Source organism: Homo sapiens, chromosome 1 (assembly GCF_000001405.40).
Source record: "Homo sapiens chromosome 1, GRCh38.p14 Primary Assembly".
NCBI lineage: Eukaryota > Metazoa > Chordata > Mammalia > Primates > Hominidae > Homo > Homo sapiens.
In genome coordinates, this window is record NC_000001.11 from 43,610,911 (window position 1) to 43,632,033 (window position 21,123).

Sequence of the window (21,123 nt, forward strand, 5' to 3'; positions counted from 1 at the left end):
TTATTTATATGCTACCTACCTATGGTTGCTTTTGCACTGTAAAGGCACCATTAAATAGATGCAGTAGATACCAGATGTCCACAAAGCCTAAACTATTTACGCTCTGGCCTGTTATGGATACCAAGTTTGCCAACCCCTGGACTCTAAAGCCTCTTTCATCCATGTGACTGGTGGTTGATGAGCCAGCTCTGAGCCTTGCTGTGGCTGTCAGCTGGGACACCCAACATGAGGCTTCTTCAGGTGGCCTGGGCTTCCTCACAACATGGTGACTGAGTTTCATGAGCATGTGTCTGGAGAGTGTGCCAGGCAGACCTAGCAGGCTGTTGCAACCCAGCATGATTAGATCTCTGAAGAATCAAGCACCAGGATGCTGGGACCTGGAGTGCAGAGAAGCCTCTTCGGGGATGGGATGCTGAGCCATGTGGTTATTGGTCTGGAAAAGAAGGATGGGAGAGAGCTCCTCAGTGGAAGCATGTGCAGAAGCTTGGGCAGATTGCATGTGCGTCAAATTATGAGCACCTGAGGGTTTCTGCAGCATGAGAGTTAGGGGCTTGGGGAATACTGAGCCAAGAGAAGACTGGAGGGCTAGGCAGAGGTCCAGTCAAAAGGACCTTGAATGTCAGGCTAAGGGGCTTAGACTTCCTCTTCAGGATGCCAGGGAGGTAGGTATTAAAGGTTTTCAGCGGGGGAGCCAGGTGGTCAGAACCATGCTTTAGAAATGTCACTCTGGCTCCTTGAGGAGACTGGATTAGAGAGGAGAAATTGAGGCAGGGAGACCATTTAAAAGGCCAGCAACCAAGTGAAAGGTGGCAGTGGGAACAGAGGGGACAGACTTGGGAAACGTGAAGGAGGTGAGGACAGCAGAGTCCGGGCTTAAGCCCACTTGGGGAGAGGTAAGGGTGGCTCTGCAGTTGCTGGCTGAATGAGCAGGGGGTAGGGGTGTCCTGGGGCTGGTGGGTCTGTGGGTCTGAGGACTTCTGAGCTGACATCAGGGCTGAAGCCCTGTGGGAGGGGCCAAGGAGCATGTGGTAGTCAAAGCCTGAGAATAGATGGGCTCTCCCAGGGTGAGGGCCAGAAGGAGACCGGGACCAAAAAGCCCAGGGCAGGGAAGGTGGTGCAGCATTAAGGAAAGATGGATGGAGAGCAGCTAGGGAGATTGAGAAGGAGCAGCCACAGCCAGACGAGAGCAGGAGCGCAGTGTCCCTGATGCCAGGGTTGGGGGAGTTGTGCAAGGGACGAGAGGACTTAATGAGGTAGGGCAGTGGGGACACCCAGTGGGAGGACCGTTGGCTTTGGCAGATGGGGCCTTGAAGAGAGGGTGGTGGCCACGTCCTGTGGGCAGAAGTGTTGCAGTGAGCAGCGTGGCAAGTGGGGGCTGAGAAAGTGGAGAAACCCCTTTCAAAGATCCTGGGAAGATACCTGGGAAGGAGGCAATGAGCAGGGCACAGTGGGAGAGTAGAGGGTGTGGGATCTGAGAAGGAGGGCTCTTTTTTCCAACGTGGAAATCATCTGAAAATCGCCAAGGGCAAATTTTGGTATCAAAAGGGGCAGGGCTGGTTTGGACTTAAGTATTTAGTCATAGAGCCCCCCAAGGCTGCCGAGCCACCAGGGTTTAGAAGTGCTCGCCTCTGGGGGTGGGACACCCAGTCTGTATTAACTGGGAGACAGAAGGAGCCTTGACGGAACTTGTCCGCAGCCCCAGCCCCTCACCGCCCCCTCCTCTTCTCCGCCAGCCCCTCGCAAGCCCGCTCGGCACCTCCACTGTGTGTGATGGTGCTGTAAGCAGAAAAAGTTAACGGGCTTTCTTTTCTTGCCCCGTTGTTTTTTTCGTTTGTTTGTTTGTTTTTTTCTCTGCAGGTTCCAGTGTCCCCAGTTGCCCGAATACCTCAAGTTAGTTTTCAAAGTTCCCGTGTTTGGGGGATACTTTGGCTTCTGTGTCTGTTTCCACTCCTTACTTTTGTTTACCCCATCGCCTCCATCCTTCCTTGAATTCTTCTCTCCCCTTCCCTTTCTTCTCCCCCAATCCCACTGTCTCCTAACCTTTTTCCTTCCCTACCCTCCCCTCTGCCCACCTTGCTTCCTCCAGGCCTGTTTTCTCTCCCACCGGCCCCGTCTCTGTTCTGCCTCTCTGGCCTCCAGTCCCGGCCTGACACCCTTCCTTCTGCGTGCCTCTACCTCTCATCTCCTCTCCTCTGTCTCACACCCCCCTCCTGGTCTCTGCTTCTCTCTCTATTGTGTCTGTACTTCATGACCACTCCATCTACACACTTGGTGCCCGGGATGACGATGGCTGTGAGTCTCCCATGGTGACTGCCACCGGTGAGGGGCAGGAGGGCTGTCTGCAGGCAGATGCGATGGAGCCCAGCTCCTGTCACGTCTGCTGCCACCGACCTGGGCGTCCCACCCCTCCTGGGAGGAAGGAAGCCTCTCTTCCATCTTGAGAGACCTGCCAGGCAGGGCCTAGTGCCCCCACTCAGCACCCCGCCACCAAAACAGGCTCCACATGCTCATGGCACAACACCGCCCTCTGTCCTCTCCCACCCTCCGCCATCCCTGTCGCCGCATGTGCTGCTGTCTCCATGCCACCAGTTCCAAGTGCTCCATGGTCACACATGTTCACATGTGCACATACATGCGTTGGGGCTTTCTCTGCCACACTGCTCAAGCCTCACACTAATGCTGCCTGTGTATGCCCTACCTCCCCTAGGTATGCGAGACCACCCACCCATCCCCATCACCGACCTGGCGGACAACATCGAGCGCCTCAAAGCCAACGATGGCCTCAAGTTCTCCCAGGAGTATGAGGTGAGATGTTCCCGCCCCCTACCATGTGCCTGGCCCAGGCCTACCCAAACCAGCTCCTGTCCTGTCCTAGGTCCCAGCTGTGGTGGGTGAGGAAGCAGGGGTCCAGCTTTTTCAGGAGCACAGAGAGGAGGGTTGGCAGTGGTAAGGGTCAGCTGGGAACCGGGTGCCTCAGATGCTGGGTCTGGCCATAGCCTGGCCCAGCACCTTCTTGGGGTCACCCTTAGGAGATGGTTTCAAAAGGCTGTGAGTGACACCAGGGTCTGGACACTCAGACACGTGCTCAAGTGCTCACAGGCAGACACAAGGCCACAGGCATACAGACATAGATCAGTGATAACAGCCACAGTAGCTGGCATCTATCAAGAGCATCCTGCAGGCCAGCACCGGTCTGGGCACTTGGCATGCATTATCTCTTTTGGTTCCCCCACAGTCTTCAGAAATGGGGACTGTTATTATCCCATCTTCCAGGTGAGGAAGCGGGGGCTCAGAGAGGGGAAGTGACTTGCCCAAGTCAAACAGCTGATGAGTAGTGGAGCCAGGATTCAAACCCAGGCCTGCCTGCTGCCCTGTGCTCTGCACATGCATGTGCTCACGTGTGTACTCCGATGCCACAGCTCACGGGGAGTCGGGGCCTCGAGACTGGCTGCTCAGGCTGTACAAGTCCCGCTTGGAGCCCTCCACACGTTCATCTTGTTCTGGACTTAACTCCTAGGAGCCTGCTGGGGGCTGAGCCTTCAAGAGTCTGAGGGTTTCCCACCCACAGATGGTGTCGGGGTGACTCTGAGCATCCCCAGGCTGCCCATCTAGGAAGGGGATTTGTTAGAGAAGGAGGTGATTTAAAGACAAGACTCCTGGCCAGGCGCAGTCGCTCACGCCTGTAATCCCAGCACTTTGGGAGGCCGAGGCGGGTGGATCACCTGAGGTCGAGAGTTTGAGACCAGCCTGGCCACCGTGGCGAAACTGCATCTCTACTATAAATACAAAAATTAGCCAGCTGTGGTGGCACATGCCTGTAGTCCCAGCTATTTGTGAGGGCTGAGGCAGGAGAATCGTTTGAACCCGGGAGGCGGAGGTTGCGTTGAGCCAAGGTCATGCCATTGCGCTCCAGCCTGGGTGACAGAGTGAGACTCCCTCTCAAAAAATATAAAATAAAAAAAACTCTTAAAAAAGAGTATTTTTACTTAAAAAAGAGAGAGAGAGACCTCCTCCTCTTCCACCTCCTCCAAGCAGCAGCCTGTGCTTGTCGTTCTGCCTTGTCCACAGCTGTTTCCTCAGCACCTGGCACTGGCCTCAGTAGATGGTTGGTGGACAGGCAATTGAGGGGTTGGCTGAGCCTAACCTGTGAGTTTGCGCCCCTTCTGATGTCCACCCTCAGCTGTGTTTGGGGGATGCATCCTAGGGCTCAAAGATTGCCTTTCCCAAGGGCTGTGGGCCAGGTTTCTGAAGAGAAAGCTGGGCTTGGCAGGCAAATGGATGAGTATGTCTGCGGCACAGCAACCGTGCTGCCTCTGCCTATAGGGCCCCCCTGGGGCCCTGCTCCACACAAGGCTGGGCTTTGGGTCACGGAGCCCGTAAGGTGGGCTCCCTGCCTCCCATGGCCTCCACCCACACTCATCTGTACCATGTCCTACACCTGCCCTTCCTTCCAGCGCAGCCCTGCTTCCCCATCTGGGCTCGTGGGGCCTCTGTTCACAGTAGTCCCCTTCCATCTTCTACCTGCTTCCCTCCTCTGATCAGAGCTTTCCTTACAAGACCCTCCTCCTCCAGGAAGCCTTCTCAGGCTCCCCAAGGCTGCCGTGGGCTCTCCCTCAGCCAGGACCCCATAGCTCTGTTGTCTTTTTTTTTTTTTTTTTTTTTTTTTTTTTTCTTTTTTGGAAGTCTCGCTCCGTCATCCAGGCTGGAGTGCAGTGGCGTGATCTCGGCTCAGTGCAAGCTCTGCCTCCTGGGTTCACGCCATTCTCCTGCCTCAGCCTCCCGAGTAGCTGGGACTACAGGTGCCCGCTACCACACCCGGCTAATTTTTTTTATTTTTAGTAGAGATGGGGTTTCACCGTGTTAGCCAGGATGGTCTCGATCTCCTGACCTCGTGATCCGCCCACCTTGGCCTCCCAAGTGCTGGGATTACAGGCGTGAGCCACTGCACCAGGCCTGCTCTGTTGTCTTTAACGTTCAGTCAGTCATTGATCACACATTTTCCATGTGCCAGTCCCCGTGCTGGGGATGTGGAGACACATGCCCTCAGGGAACCCAGTCGTGGGGAGCATGTGCAGACAGATAATCAGCATTGAATATGTGACTCTGACAGCATGCCCTGGTGTTGAATAGTACCGACAGGCGTGCAAAAGGTGGGCTGACAGCACCAGAGCAGCCTGAGGTGTGGGGTGTGCTGCGGGGTCTCACGGAAGCAGTGACGCGGTCCTGTGGAGAGTAATGAGGCTGGGGACAACATATGGAGGACATTGCGTGCTATGCTGAGAACTTCAGATAGTATCCATCTGGAAAATGTGAAGATAATAATGGAACCTATCTCGTATGAGAATTTGAGGAGGGAATACATGCAAAGTGCTCACAGCGGTGCCAGGCACACTGTGGGTCCTCACTAACGCTTCGCTATTATCATTATTGCTCTCCGAGGTGAAGAAGAGCCACAGAAGGCCTTTAAGCAGGAAATTGATATTCACATCTGCATTTTGGAAGGATTATTCTGGCTGTGGGGCTGAGTGGGTCAGAGTGGGACAAGAGGAAAGAGGCAGGAAGAGGCTGAGCCTCAATTGGGGTGGCCTGGCCCAGGGCAGTGGCAGCAGGTTGGAGAGAGCTGAGGGGGTGGGGGAGCACCAGAACCTGGTGACTGGCAGGGCGGGGTTGGTGGAGGCCGGAGGAATTTTGAGCTTGACTTCTAGGTTCTGGCCTGGCACTGAGGGGTGAGGGTGCCTTTCGCTAAGGTGTAGTCCCAGCAGCAGCGCCAGGTTTGGAGGGGAAGCTGATGAACTCAGCTTTGAAAGGACTGCGGTTGAAGGACCTCCCGGTGGAGGTGTCAGAGAGGCTGCTGGGTACTCGGGGAAGAGCTCTGTGCTGCTGCTGAGGTTATGGGCAGCTCCAGCATGTGGTGTAAGAATCAGGTGAGCAAATGAGGTCACCCAGGAAAGGTTGTAGAGAGAGAAGAGGGCCTAGAAGGAACCCTGGAGGAGCTCTGCGTCCTGCCCACGGGAAGGGCAGGGGAGAGAGAGGAAACAGAGAAGGAGCAGCTGAAAGGAAGAGAGCCGAGCAGGGAGGGATCCTGGACTACCTGAGAGGGGCCACCATCCCTTCCATCTGTCCTGGCTCATTTCATTAGGTGAATGCAGGGCTTCGGGAGGGACTCTGGGTGTTCAGAGCCCTCAGCAGTTTCGGGACTGCCTGAGAGGGGGCCACCACCTGTCCTAGCTCATTTCATTAGGTGAGTGCAGGGCTTCGAGAGACCCTTCACCTGCCCCATCCCAGCTCAGACCACTCTACCAGGCAAGGGGATTTGGTACCATGGTCAGAGGAGTCCCCAGTCCATCACTTTTCTGATAGGTGATGTGGCAACCTGTGAGCTCCATGGCTGGCACCACGAGATAGAGGGCCTGGCTGTGGCCTGTGGAGTGAAGGCAGGATGTGAGCATCACCGGGAAGGCTGGGTCCCCTGCAGGAGAAGCAGGTCAACCTTGGCTCTTACCCCACCCCACCCGCTTTCTCCATTCTCTGCAGTCCATCGACCCTGGACAGCAGTTCACGTGGGAGAATTCAAACCTGGAGGTGAACAAGCCCAAGAACCGCTATGCGAATGTCATCGCCTACGACCACTCTCGAGTCATCCTTACCTCTATCGATGGTGAGCCAAGGGGGTGCCCCTCCCATCCCCTTGCTCTCCCCCTTGCTAGCTAGGGCAACATGTCATTCTACAGAGGATGTCCACGAGTCTCAGGGGTGCACTGAGGCATGGTGGGCTGGGCTGGGGACCCTGTAGTAATGCCCTCCCACCTCCTTTCTTATCCATAGGCGTCCCCGGGAGTGACTACATCAATGCCAACTACATCGATGGCTACCGCAAGCAGAATGCCTACATCGCCACGCAGGGCCCCCTGCCCGAGACCATGGGTGATTTCTGGAGGATGGTGTGGGAACAGCGCACGGCCACTGTGGTCATGATGACACGGCTGGAGGAGAAGTCCCGGGTGAGGCTGCAGGGCCCTGCCAGGAGGCGGGTGGGAAATGCCCAGCCACAAGGTGATACAGGGCACCTTCTTCTGTGCCGCTTTCTTCTGTGGAGGAAGTCGCTCAAGTGATCCCCAGATGCTATTGTTACTGGGGGTATTATGCTCCCCAAATACTGGGTGTTTCTGGGATACAGCATGTTCCCCACATGCTAGTGGGTTCCTTAAGATGTTAATATGTTTCACCAAATGCTGTCATTTTCGGAGAATGTTAATGTGTTCCCCAGTTGCTGGCGTGTTCCCGGGGTATTCATGTGTTCCCCAGATGCTGGAGTGTTCCTGGGGCATTAACACATCTCCTAAGTTAATTAGTGGAAAGAGCTGCTGTTATCTGTTTTTGGACTGCAAAGCATTGACTGGAACGTAAAATTTACAGAGCTTGAAAATGGCACATAAACGTTATGGGTAAATTTGGCAGAAAATGTGCCTGGTGCGATCTGGCGTTGAATAAATAATTTTCAATTATGACCCTTATTCCACTAGCTAGGGCAGGGCGGTGACATAGCTTGAGGACCTGATGTGGCTTGTGGAGGACAGGGGGCAATGGATCTGAGAGCTCAGGGCTGGGGGGCTTTGTAGCCAGAAAGGCTACAGCCAGGGAGTTGACCAGCCTCCACCCTGCTTCTGCCCGTCTGAGCCTGTGGGCTTCCTTCAGCCTGCCCTGCTCATCCTCCTGCAGGTAAAATGTGATCAGTACTGGCCAGCCCGTGGCACCGAGACCTGTGGCCTTATTCAGGTGACCCTGTTGGACACAGTGGAGCTGGCCACATACACTGTGCGCACCTTCGCACTCCACAAGGTATAGCCTTTCCCCAGTGCATATCTCTTACCCAGACACTGTAAGGACAGTGGCCTGGGTGTGGTGTGCTGGGTCGGGGGGAAGCTGGAGCCTGGGTGTTGGAGGGTCGGAGGCTCAGGTGTGTGAGTGATGTGATGATCCATGTTATGGGAACAGTGCTAGGAGCTTCAGGCTACTCTGTGTGGCTTCTGAGTCCCATGGGGAAGTGGCGGGTATGGCCTCAGCATCAGGTCATTCAGTCCTGAGTCTATGGCAGGTAGGCTCCTAGTCGCCAGTATGTCCCCACTTTGTCCCCCAGAGTGGCTCCAGTGAGAAGCGCGAGCTGCGTCAGTTTCAGTTCATGGCCTGGCCAGACCATGGAGTTCCTGAGTACCCAACTCCCATCCTGGCCTTCCTACGACGGGTCAAGGCCTGCAACCCCCTAGACGCAGGGCCCATGGTGGTGCACTGCAGGTGAGAGGGTACAGTGCCACCCAGAGGGGTGGGTGGGGTGGGAGGTGGGGGCGCCTGTGCCTCAAGCTGAGCCCGTGTCCTGCAGCGCGGGCGTGGGCCGCACCGGCTGCTTCATCGTGATTGATGCCATGTTGGAGCGGATGAAGCACGAGAAGACGGTGGACATCTATGGCCACGTGACCTGCATGCGATCACAGAGGAACTACATGGTGCAGACGGAGGACCAGTACGTGTTCATCCATGAGGCGCTGCTGGAGGCTGCCACGTGCGGCCACACAGAGGTGCCTGCCCGCAACCTGTATGCCCACATCCAGAAGCTGGGCCAAGTGCCTCCAGGGGAGAGTGTGACCGCCATGGAGCTCGAGTTCAAGGTGGGGCTCGGGTGGGCCTGCTTGGCTCCAGGGCCTAGACTGGGTCATGCAGATGACCCCCACCCCCACAGGAAGCCTGGCCTGACCAATCCCTGCCTCTCAATAGTTGCTGGCCAGCTCCAAGGCCCACACGTCCCGCTTCATCAGCGCCAACCTGCCCTGCAACAAGTTCAAGAACCGGCTGGTGAACATCATGCCCTACGAATTGACCCGTGTGTGTCTGCAGCCCATCCGTGGTGTGGAGGGCTCTGACTACATCAATGCCAGCTTCCTGGATGGTTATAGGTCAGCATGCATGTCACTGCCCCACCATGCCCTACAGGGGCCTAGGCCTGTGCCTGGCTGGTGGGGGTGGGCAGCAGAGTAGGGCCAGCCTAGAAGACCAGAGAGGGCTGGGTAGAGCAGTGAGGACTTCCTGGAGGAGGGGTGATCTGAGCAGGGCCCCAAGGGGCTAGGCAGCCTAAGGGGAGACTCTAGGGGCAGCAGCACCTCCAGCATGTCCAGTCTTATGTCCACCCCAGACAGCAGAAGGCCTACATAGCTACACAGGGGCCTCTGGCAGAGAGCACCGAGGACTTCTGGCGCATGCTATGGGAGCACAATTCCACCATCATCGTCATGCTGACCAAGCTTCGGGAGATGGGCAGGGTGAGCCCACCCTTTCCCCCAGGGCCCCTGTCATACCTGGGAGAACACCAGCCACCCTTGGGGGAGCTGCCGCCTATGTTACTGTCTCCTTTGACACCCCAGCTGCTTGTCAGCATGGCCTCAGGCGCCCGTTATTACTACCTGAGGCATCTGTCCCAGAATCCTGTGAAGCCTGGCACCCCTCCCCTATTCCTTCTCACCTGATTATGGGGGCCCGACCCTCTGTCCACAGGAGAAATGCCACCAGTACTGGCCAGCAGAGCGCTCTGCTCGCTACCAGTACTTTGTTGTTGACCCGATGGCTGAGTACAACATGCCCCAGTATATCCTGCGTGAGTTCAAGGTCACGGATGCCCGGGTGAGTGAGTGCATTGAGTGTGTCCATAACGCTGCCTGTCCACACGCTGGGTGGATGGCTGCCTGCATGGTACCTTAGCTCAAGCTTCAGAAATCTGAGGCGGTGGGTGGGTATTAGGGTGTGAGCACATCTCCCCCTGTGGCCTCGGGTGCAGTGACACAGATGCATGCCTGTATCATGGTACTACCCTGGTCTAGTCCAGAGGGGTGGCTGCCTAAGGCACGAATTCTAATCATGTACCCCACCCACCTTTCCCAGGATGGGCAGTCAAGGACAATCCGGCAGTTCCAGTTCACAGACTGGCCAGAGCAGGGCGTGCCCAAGACAGGCGAGGGATTCATTGACTTCATCGGGCAGGTGCATAAGACCAAGGAGCAGTTTGGACAGGATGGGCCTATCACGGTGCACTGCAGGTGGGACTGGCCCCCTGGAGGGCTGGGGTGGGTGGGCCTGAAGGCCTGGCAGACCCACTGCATGAGGCAAGCAGGACTCCTGACCCAACTGTGTTTCTGAGCAGTGCTGGCGTGGGCCGCACCGGGGTGTTCATCACTCTGAGCATCGTCCTGGAGCGCATGCGCTACGAGGGCGTGGTCGACATGTTTCAGACCGTGAAGACCCTGCGTACACAGCGTCCTGCCATGGTGCAGACAGAGGTAACGCAGACCAGGCTGCAGGGCCAGGGCCTTGGCAGCAGCGCTGCTGGGAACCCTAGGCTTTAGCAACAGTTTGATGCCCACAGGCATGTGCATTCATTCATGCTGCCAACCTTTCACGTGGCCTGCGATAGGCATGGTGGTGTGTGCTTATGGTCCTACCTACTTGGGAGGTTGATGTGGGAGAATCACTTGAGGTCAGAAGTTCGAGGCTGCAGTGAGCTATGATTATACCACGGCACTCCAGCCTGGGTGGCAGAGCAAGACCCTGTTGCTGAAAACAAAACAAAACAAAACAAAAATGCTGCAACATTGCCTGTGCTGCCTGGGGGCTCAGGGGATTGATGAGTAAGATGTGTTCTTTCATTCGGCAGCTCTCTGCTGAGCCCCAGTGGTGTGCCTGGCTCTGGGCAAGGTTGCACAGAGCAATCCTTATGGGGTGCCCAGTCAGGAGCAGAGAAACATGATTGGGATGGCAGATGGAAGGCAGGTAGATGTGGGGGCCTGAGAGAATGACAGGAGAGAGATGAGCCTTCAGAGGCTCTTTCAGGCTCCCCCGCACACTGCCTGATGTAGCTGCCAGGGTCCAGCACCTGCTCTTGGCCAGCAGAGGCTAACTCCATGGCTGCAGTGTGAGTGTCAGCTGTGTAGTGGGGGTGTCCACTGGCGCGACCCACACTGACCAGCCCCCTATCCTGGCAGGACCAGTATCAGCTGTGCTACCGTGCGGCCCTGGAGTACCTCGGCAGCTTTGACCACTATGCAACGTAACTACCGCTCCCCTCTCCTCCGCCACCCCCGCCGTGGGGCTCCGGAGGGGACCCAGCTCCTCTGAGCCATACCGACCATCGTCCAGCCCTCCTACGCAGATGCTGTCACTGGCAGAGCACAGCCCACGGGGATCACAGCGTTTCAGGAACGTTGCCACACCAATCAGAGAGCCTAGAACATCCCTGGGCAAGTGGATGGCCCAGCAGGCAGGCACTGTGGCCCTTCTGTCCACCAGACCCACCTGGAGCCCGCTTCAAGCTCTCTGTTGCGCTCCCGCATTTCTCATGCTTCTTCTCATGGGGTGGGGTTGGGGCAAAGCCTCCTTTTTAATACATTAAGTGGGGTAGACTGAGGGATTTTAGCCTCTTCCCTCTGATTTTTCCTTTCGCGAATCCGTATCTGCAGAATGGGCCACTGTAGGGGTTGGGGTTTATTTTGTTTTGTTTTTTTTTTTCTTGAGTTCACTTTGGATCCTTATTTTGTATGACTTCTGCTGAAGGACAGAACATTGCCTTCCTCGTGCAGAGCTGGGGCTGCCAGCCTGAGCGGAGGCTCGGCCGTGGGCCGGGAGGCAGTGCTGATCCGGCTGCTCCTCCAGCCCTTCAGACGAGATCCTGTTTCAGCTAAATGCAGGGAAACTCAATGTTTTTTTAAGTTTTGTTTTCCCTTTAAAGCCTTTTTTTAGGCCACATTGACAGTGGTGGGCGGGGAGAAGATAGGGAACACTCATCCCTGGTCGTCTATCCCAGTGTGTGTTTAACATTCACAGCCCAGAACCACAGATGTGTCTGGGAGAGCCTGGCAAGGCATTCCTCATCACCATCGTGTTTGCAAAGGTTAAAACAAAAACAAAAAACCACAAAAATAAAAAACAAAAAAAACAAAAAACCCAAGAAAAAAAAAAAGAGTCAGCCCTTGGCTTCTGCTTCAAACCCTCAAGAGGGGAAGCAACTCCGTGTGCCTGGGGTTCCCGAGGGAGCTGCTGGCTGACCTGGGCCCACAGAGCCTGGCTTTGGTCCCCAGCATTGCAGTATGGTGTGGTGTTTGTAGGCTGTGGGGTCTGGCTGTGTGGCCAAGGTGAATAGCACAGGTTAGGGTGTGTGCCACACCCCATGCACCTCAGGGCCAAGCGGGGGCGTGGCTGGCCTTTCAGGTCCAGGCCAGTGGGCCTGGTAGCACATGTCTGTCCTCAGAGCAGGGGCCAGATGATTTTCCTCCCTGGTTTGCAGCTGTTTTCAAAGCCCCCGATAATCGCTCTTTTCCACTCCAAGATGCCCTCATAAACCAATGTGGCAAGACTACTGGACTTCTATCAATGGTACTCTAATCAGTCCTTATTATCCCAGCTTGCTGAGGGGCAGGGAGAGCGCCTCTTCCTCTGGGCAGCGCTATCTAGATAGGTAAGTGGGGGCGGGGAAGGGTGCATAGCTGTTTTAGCTGAGGGACGTGGTGCCGACGTCCCCAAACCTAGCTAGGCTAAGTCAAGATCAACATTCCAGGGTTGGTAATGTTGGATGATGAAACATTCATTTTTACCTTGTGGATGCTAGTGCTGTAGAGTTCACTGTTGTACACAGTCTGTTTTCTATTTGTTAAGAAAAACTACAGCATCATTGCATAATTCTTGATGGTAATAAATTTGAATAATCAGATTTCTTACAAACCAGGACTCTGTCTCAGCTGTTTCTGGAACCAAAGAGTCTGGGCCAAATCAGTAGCTAGGATGGGTTCTGGAGATTCCCTGCTCCTGAGGAGACGGGGAGGGTACCCTAAGTATTTGTGCCAGTGTAGGCTCCTGGCATGGCTACCCACTTTCAGAAAGGAGTGGTTATAAACCCTGAAAACCAGGCCACCAAGAGCCAGCCAGGCCAGAGCCACCAGTGCATGTGAAGAGCACCCTAGGCCGGGGAGCATACCCTTTGCCTCTCTTTCCCTTTAAGATTCTGTGGGTTGCACTATCGGGGCATTGGGACTGCCCCTCTCCCACTACCTTGGAGGAGAGGGATGGCCCTGTGGCAGTAGAGACTGAATGTATGGAAATTGGTTAGTGAGATCTCCTGTAATTATTGCAATGTGGATAATGGACACAAAAAACAGTGTGTCCATCTGGCCCCTGGACACACAGCTGCATCACCCACTGAGCTGTGCAGCTGCTCCACTGGTGAGCAGACAAGTCCTACCAGGTTGTCAAATTGTGGAACTTCTAGGGATACAGATGAAGGAGACCCAGAACAAGCTGCGAAGAGAAATGCGTAAGTCAGCAACAACCACACCAAGGCAGCATCTGACCCAGGGAAGGCTTCCTGGAGGAGGTGGCATTCAGAGTGTTTCGTAGAATGAGTAGCAGTTAGTTTTTTTTTGTTTATTTTTGAGATGGAGTCCCACTCTGTCGCAAGGCTGGAGTGCAGTGGCGTGATCTCGGCTCACTGCAACCTCTGCCCCCCGGGTTCAAGCAATTCTTCTGCCTTTACCCTCCTGAGTAGCTGGAACTACAGGTGCCCGACACCACGCCCAGGTAATTTTTGTATTTTTAGTAGAGACGGGGTTTCACCATGTTGGCCAGGCTGGTCTTGAACTCCTGATCTCAGGTGATCCACCCACCTCAGTCTCCCAAAGTGCTGGAATTACAAGCATGAGCCGCCATGCCCAGCCAAAGTAGCAGTTAGTTTTTAAAGGTAGGGAAAGGTTTTCCAATGGAACATGTACAAAGGCTTGGAAGCTTGTCACAGACCAACTTCGTGAGAAACTCCAGGAGGTGCATTAAGATTGGAGTAGAGAGGCGTGGCTAGGAAGGTGGGCCGGATGGAGTCAGATCTTGCAGCTAAGGGGATTGAGGTGATTGTCAGAGGGATGCAGGGATCCCTGGCAGGTGCAGTGCTTCTGTTCTTAACACCCTGGGCCACCTCCATTGAGTCCTTCACCGCGTTCTAGTATTGGCAGCCATCTCCTTGGGGGCTGTGAGTGACTGAGGCCTGGCACCAAGTCTCTTCTGGGTATCCCTAGCACCTAGGTCGGTGCCTGGCATATTTCTATTCAGAAAAAAGGCACCATCATTACATGACTGTTGATGTTAGAAAATTTGATTAACTTTTGCTAAATAAAAGAACAAGCCATTAAACATTTTCAAGTAAGGGGTAAGTACCAGGTGTTCACTTGAGGAAGACCGGTAGTCAGGACTGCCCCAGGCAGGCTCTGCGCTGAGGGCGTGATGGGCCTGCTCACCAGTCCTTGCGAGCAGCCGGCAGAAGGATCCTCCTCTCCGCACTCAGATGAGGAAACAGGCTTATGTGGAATCACTCATCAGAGACCACAGGGCAGGTAAGCGCCAGAGCTGGGACCCACATCTGCTGATGTCTGCTCCAGAGTCCCTGCCCTTTTCATTGCCAGTGTCAGCCTTCTCTCTCCTCTACTTCCCTCCCTCCTCACTCCCCCCTGCAAGCCTGCTCCTCCTCCAGGGCCCCCATTGCAGTGCTTGGCACCCCACCTACCTGGTATTCCAGGCAGGCATCGCTTGCATGCTCACCCCCACCTCCATTCATCGTCACACCCTGCCTGCTTGGCCTCCACGCCTGTTGTCTGCATCTCCACGGCTGTCTCCCAAGCCGCTTTCCCTCTCGCCTGCACTGCCGCTGTGCTTCCTACCAGGCAGTCTGCCCCAGCACTGCCTGGGCCAAACCGTTCTCAGCACAGTGGGAGTGATTCTGCCTCGCAGGGCAGACATGACCAAGTCACTGTCCTGAGGAGACCCTGCCAGGTCCTCACTGTCCCCATGGTTTTCCAGGCTCTGCAGGACCTGGCCTGTGTGGCCTTATCTTCCTTCTCCCCTCTTGCCCCCTGCCCTCCAGCCACCACAGAATCAATTCTTTAAGTTTCTTGCCTGTTTTTTTTTGTTTTTTGTTTTTGAGACAGAGTTTCACTCTGTCACCCAGTCTGGAGTGCAGTAGTGGCGATCTCAGCTCATTGCAACCTCTGCCTCCTGGGTTCAAGCAATTCTGCCTCAGTCTCCCAAGTAGCTGGGATTACAGGCATGGGCCACCACACCCGGCTAATTTTTGTATTTTTAGTAGAGATGGGGTTTCACCATGTTGGCCAGGCAGGTCTTGAAATCCTGACCTCGGGTGATCCTCCCGCCTCAGCCTCCCAAAGTGCTGGGATTACAGGCATGAGCCACTGCGCCCGGCCCTGCCTCACCATTCTATCTCAGCTCCAGATCTTCCTACAAGCTGTTCTTCTGGAACATTCTCCCCCACTTCCACCTGGCTAACCCCTCATTGTTTAGCCCTCCCCTGAAAATATTTCCTTCAGAAGCCATCCTTAACTATCCTAAATGAGGCTAGATGACTGCTATGCAAGTTATTTGGAATATAGTATTTCACTTAATTCTCACAACAATGTATGAAGCCCATTGTGTTGATAAGAAAATTTGACCTAATCCACTCCTTCAACAAATATTTAATGAGCATTTGCTGTGTGATAGTCATTATCCTAGGTGCTTGGAATACATCAGTGAATGGAACAGACTTTACCTTTGTGGCATTCATACATTATAAATAAATGTATTTATAGTTTGTTAAAAGGTTGTAAGCCTAATTAGTGGGGAGTACAATAAGAAGGACCAAGGCCGGGCACGGTGGCTCACGCCTGTAATCCCAATACTGTGGGAGGCCAAGGTGGGTGGATCACCTGAGGCCAGGAGTTCGAGACCAGCCTGGACAACAGGGTGAAACCTCATCTCTACTAAAAAATACAAAAACTAGCTGAGCATGGTGGTGCACGCCTGTAATCCCAACTACTTAGGAGGCAGAGGCTGCAGTGAGCTGAAATCACGCCACTGCACTCCAGCCTGGGCAACAGAGCAAGACTGTCTCAAAAAAAAAAAAAGGACTGGGCGTGTGAGGGAAGATTTGATTATTTGATTTAGGGTGGTCAGGGGACACATTGAAAAGATGGGACTTGAGGAAAGACTTGAATCTGGTGAGTTTTGCCTGAGTATCTTCGAGATGAGCATCCAGGTGGAGGGAGCAGCTATAGCAAAGGCCCTGGGTGGGAGTGTGCCTGATATATGAGGGTGGGTGTGGCTGTGACACCCTGAGCAAGGGGCAAGAGGGTAGCAGGGGATGAGGTTAGAGAGGAAATGGGGCCAGCTCCTTTACCATTGAGAAGACTGCAGAAATCCAGTGGTGGAGAGAAGTGGCCAGATTCTGGTTATATCTTAAGGCAGATCTGATAGAATTTGCTGATGGACTCGATGAGAAAGAGAGGAGTCAAGGTTGACCCCACAGTTCTGGCCTGAGCAGCAGGAAGGATAAAGTTACCATTTGTTGAGATGAGGAAGGTTGTACAGAAGGGTTAAGTAATCTACTCGAGGGTCCCAACTGGAATTTGGTGGCGTTGGTAGGACTCCCAGCTCTGCTTAACTCCAGGGCTCTTTTCACACCGCTACCTGCCTAAAGCTAGAAATCGTCAGATGCATTGAGAAAAAAATATTTGGGGCCGGGCGCAGTGGCTCACGCCTGTAATCCCAGCACTTTGGGAGGTGGAGGCAGGCAGATCACGAGGTCAAGAGATTGAGACCATCTTGGGCAACGTGGTGAAACCCCGTCTCTACTAAAAATACAAAAATTAGCTGGGCATGGTGGCACGCACCTGTATTCCCAGCTACTCGGAATGCTGAGTTAGGAGAATCGCTTGAACCCAGAAGGCAGAGGTTGCAGTGAGCCGACATCACACCACTGCACTCCAGCCTGGGCGACAGAGCAAGACTCCGTCTCAGAAAAAAAAGAAAAATATATTTGGAAGGAAATATACCAGAAGGTTATGAGGATAGGTGACTTGTTCTTTGTAATTCTCCAAATTTTCTATGAAGACTTTATTTATTTATTTATTTATTTATTCTTTTTTTTTTTTTTTTTTTTTTTGAGACGGAGTCTCGTTCTGTCTCCTAGGCTGGAGTGCAGTGGCACAAATCTCTGCTCACTGCAACCTCCATCTCCTGGGTTCAAGCGATTCTCAGCCTCATGTAGCTGGGATTACAGGTACCTGCTACCATGCCTGGCTAATTTTTGTATTTTTAGTAGAGATGGGGTTTTGCCATGTTGGTCAGGCTGGTCTCGAACTCCTGACCTCAGGTGATCCGCCCGCCTCAACATCCCACAGTGCTAAGATTACAGGCATGAGCCACCACACCCGACCTGAAGACTTCATATTTTTTTATTTTATTATTTATTTATTGATTTATTTATTTTATTTATTTATTTATTTAGAGACAGTCTCTGTTGGCCAGGCTGGAGTGCAGTGGCATGATCTCGGCTCACTGCAACCTCCATCTCCCAGGCTCAAGCAATTCTCCTGCCTCAGCCTCCCAAGTGGCTGGGATTACAGGTGCACGCCACTACCTCCAGCTAATTTTTTGTATTTTTAGTAGAAACGGGGTTTCACCACGTTGGCCAGGCTGGTCTCGAACTCCTGACCTCAGGTAATCCGCCCGCCTCGGCCTTCCTAAGTGCTGAGATTACAGGCATGAGCCACTGCGCCCAGCCAATACTTTCATTTTAAAAAACAAAAATTTTTTTTTTATTTATTAAAGCAACAACAGAAACCTTTTGACTGGGATCCAGGTGTGCAACTTTGAAGTCCTCATTCTCTTTCCTCCTGCCAACTCCCTAGAGGAGAGTCACTGTTAACAGTTTAGTCTATATCCTCCTGGGCATTTTCTATGAATATACAAACATGTATAAGAAACTTCGTATTTTATGTAACTAGAATGATATTATTCATATCTTGCTGCAAGTTGCCCATTTCATTTAAATATATGCTTTCCATGTCAGGAGCTTTTTTTTTTTTTTTTGAGACGGAGTCTCACTCTGTTGCCCAGGCTAGAGTGCAGTGGCGCGATCTCAGCTCACTACAAGCTCCGCCTTCTGGGTTCCGCGATTCTCCTGCCTCAGCCTCCCAAGTAGCTGGGACTACAGGCGCCTGCCACCACGCCCAGCTAATGTTTTGTATTTTAGTAGAGACCGGGTTTCACCGTGTTAGCCAGGATGGACGATCTCCTGACCTCGTGATCCGCCTGCCTGGGCCTCCCAAAGTGCTGGGATTACAGGCGTGAGCCACTGCGCCCAGCCAGGAGCTCATTTTTTTAACTGCTATATACTATTCTGTTATGGATGTCCCATAATTTTAAAAATGGTTATCAATATAGCTTTTTTATTAAATAAGTGGATGCATATGATAAAACAAATAAAAATGATTCAGAGGCCGGGTACAGTGGCTCACGCCTCTAATCTCAACACTTTGGGAGGCCCAGGCGGGCAGATCACCTGAGGTCGGGAGTAGGAGACCAGCCTGACCAACATGGAGAAACCCTGTCTCTACTAAAACCACAAAATTATCCAGGCGTGGTGGTGCAGGCCTGTAATCCCAGCTACTTGGGAAGCTGTAGCAAGAGAATTGCTTGAACCCAGAAGGCGGATGTTGCGGTGAGCCAAGATCGCGCCATTGCACTCCAGCCTGGGCAAGAAGAGCGAAACTCAGTCTCAAAAAAAAAAAAAAAAAAAAGTTTCAGGGCCAGGCACGGTGGCTTACACCTGTAATCCCGGCACTTTGGGAGGCCGAGGCGAGTGGATCACGAGGTCAGGAGATCAAGACCATCCTGGCTAACACGGTGAAACCCCGTCTCTACTAAAAATACAAAAAAAAAAAAAAAAAATTAGCCGAGCGTGGTGGTGGGCACCTGTAGTCCCAGCTACTCAGGAGGCTGAGGCAGGAGAATGGCATGAACCTGGGAGGCGGAGCTTGCAGTGAGCTGAGATCACGCCACTGCACTCCAGCCTGGACAACAGAGCGAGACTCCGTCTCAAAAAAAAAAAAAAGATTCAGTCTTGAAGGGTCCAAAATAAAAGGTCAGCTTTTCTTCCTCCTCTCCCCAACTCTAGTTTCATTTCCTGCAATTTCTGATTTTAATTCTTTCAGTGGCAACCATCACATGCCATTAATAGATGGTGCCTGTTGGCTCCTTGGCTATAAAATGTGTGGAATTTAGTCAACTTACATGATCTCCTACCACTACCTCCTGATTTTGTTAGATATATTATTACTTTTAATTCTTCTAGAGTTCCTTTCATGACTTTAAACACTTTATTTATTTTTGAGACAGAGTTTCGCTCTTGTTGCCCAGGCTGGAGTGCAGTGTCGCCAGCTCGTCTCACTGCAACCTCCACCTCCCGGGTTCAAGTGATCCTCCTGCTTCAGTCTCCCAAGTAGCTGGGATTACAGGCATGCACCACCATGCCCAGCTAATTTTGTATTTTTAGTAGAGACAGGGTTTCTCCATGTAGGTCAGGCTGGTCTCGAACTCCTGACCTCAGGTGATCAGCCCACCTCAGCCTCCCAAAGTGCTGGGATTACAGGCGTGAGCCACTGCACCCGGCTAAACACTATATTTAAACATCTGTTTCTTGATTTATCACCTTTTGGCAGTATCTATTGATTACCCTCTCTCAAGAATGAGAAAATTAGCTCACTTTCCTTGATTCTCCCTTCTCCCTCCTCCAACTACGATTTTTTGTTATTTCACATTGTCAAGGCTTCCAATACTTTCTGTTCTGCTAATATAATTAGTTCTTTCATTCTAAAAATTGAAAACCAATACACAGCATTTTAATTGTATGTTTATGAAAAATCTTTCAAACATCAATTTCAAACAAACTTCAAACAATTTCAAACTTTTATTTTTTTTTCTATGTTCTTCACTTCTGGATCATATTCACCTGCCACCACCGCTTGCACCACATGACAGTCTTTCTTGGATTCTTTTTCACGTTGATAGAGTACTCCCCCTCACATAATTTTTTCACAGAGCATTATAAACTTTCTGGTTCTCGCATGTCTGAAAATTTTTTTTTTTTTTTTTGAGATGGAGTCTTGCTCTGTTGCCCAGGCTGGAGTGCAGTGGCGCAATCTCGGCTCACTACAAGCTCCACCTCCCCAGTTCACGCCATTCTCTCGCCTCAGCCTCCTGAGTAGCTGGGACTACAGGCGCCTGCCACCACGCCTGGCTAAATTTTTTGTATTTTTAGTAGAGACGGGGTTTCATCTTGTTAGCCAGGATGGTCTCGATCTCCTGACCTCGTGATCCACCCGCCTCGGCCTCCCAAAGTGCTGGGATTACAGGCGTGAGCCACCGTGCTCGGCCGTGAAAATATCTTTTACATTCACACTCCATTTTAACTTTGTCTGGTCTGGGCTTCCTTATACAAGATAATTTTCCTCAGAAACTTGTGAAGACATTGCTGCTAGTTCTGTATTAAGCAATTGTTGAAGGAGAAAGGCTGTCCAGCAACAAATTACCCTGATGTTTGTTTGTCCCATGACCCACGTTGATTTTTTTTTTTTTTTTTTGAGACAGAGTCTTGCTCTGTTGCCCAGGCTGGAGTGCAGTGGCGTGATCTTGGCTCACCACAGTCTCTGCCTCCCGGGTTCAAGCAATTCTCCTGCCTCAGCCTCCCGAGTAGCTGGGACTACAGGCGCGCACCACCATGCCCAGCTCATTTTTGTATTTTTAGCAGAGACAGGATTTCACTATATTGGCCAGGCTGGTCTCGAACTCCTGACCTCATGATCCACCAGCCTCGGCCTCCCAAAGTGCTGAGATTACAGGTGTGAGCTACCACACCCAGCCTTTTTTTTTTTTTTCCGAGATGGAATCTCACTCTGTCACCCAGGCTGGAGTGCAGTGATGCAATGACGGCTCACTGCAACCTCCGCCTCCCAGGTTCAAGTGATTCTCCCACCTCAGCCTCCCGAGTAGCTGGGATTACAGACACCCGCCACCACACCCGCCTACTTTTTGTATTATAAATTATTATATGTACAGAGTCGACTTCTGGGCCACGAGTCTGTTTCATTCATCTGTTCAGTCTAAGGTGAACTACTCATTTAACTTTTGTGGCTTTATTACCTGACACAACTAATTTTTATTTTTTCAAAATTAGTGCCATTCCCCTATTTTTCTTCCAAACGGACATTAGAT

General features: G+C 52.6%; 1 protein-coding gene across 35 annotated transcripts in view, besides 1 other annotated feature; it reads left to right on the forward strand.

Annotated features, from left to right (window-relative positions):
* PTPRF (protein tyrosine phosphatase receptor type F) overlaps positions 1 to 12,756 on the forward strand; it is a 101,616-nt gene extending 88,860 nt beyond the window's left edge. For 20 of the 35 annotated variants that reach the window (XM_011541873.3, XM_011541871.4, XM_011541872.4 and 17 more), the window contains 13 exons: positions 1,858 to 1,890; positions 2,708 to 2,805; positions 6,535 to 6,658; positions 6,826 to 7,001; positions 7,720 to 7,839; positions 8,138 to 8,292; positions 8,378 to 8,663; positions 8,770 to 8,948; positions 9,185 to 9,311; positions 9,544 to 9,669; positions 9,928 to 10,082; positions 10,187 to 10,322; positions 11,025 to 12,756. In XM_011541873.3, the coding sequence (XP_011540175.1) occupies positions 1,858 to 1,890; positions 2,708 to 2,805; positions 6,535 to 6,658; positions 6,826 to 7,001; positions 7,720 to 7,839; positions 8,138 to 8,292; positions 8,378 to 8,663; positions 8,770 to 8,948; positions 9,185 to 9,311; positions 9,544 to 9,669; positions 9,928 to 10,082; positions 10,187 to 10,322; positions 11,025 to 11,093 (1,784 nt within the window). In that variant the 3' untranslated portion in view covers positions 11,094 to 12,756. The remainder of the gene's footprint in view (positions 1 to 1,857; positions 1,891 to 2,707; positions 2,806 to 6,534; positions 6,659 to 6,825; positions 7,002 to 7,719; positions 7,840 to 8,137; positions 8,293 to 8,377; positions 8,664 to 8,769; positions 8,949 to 9,184; positions 9,312 to 9,543; positions 9,670 to 9,927; positions 10,083 to 10,186; positions 10,323 to 11,024) is intronic. The other 15 variants (XM_006710797.4, XM_047426504.1, XM_006710798.4 and 12 more) reach the window with 1 other exon arrangement.
* Positions 9,609 to 9,783: a silencer, noted in NCBI's record as "fragment chr1:44086190-44086364 (GRCh37/hg19 assembly coordinates)". NCBI's record gives its function as "represses an EF-1alpha promoter that drives an FKBP-Casp9 reporter gene in an ReSE screen in phorbol 12-myristate 13-acetate-treated (for megakaryocytic differentiation) K562 erythroleukemia cells {active_cell/tissue: K562(+PMA)}" and the evidence as "EXISTENCE:reporter gene assay evidence [ECO:0000049][PMID:32094911]".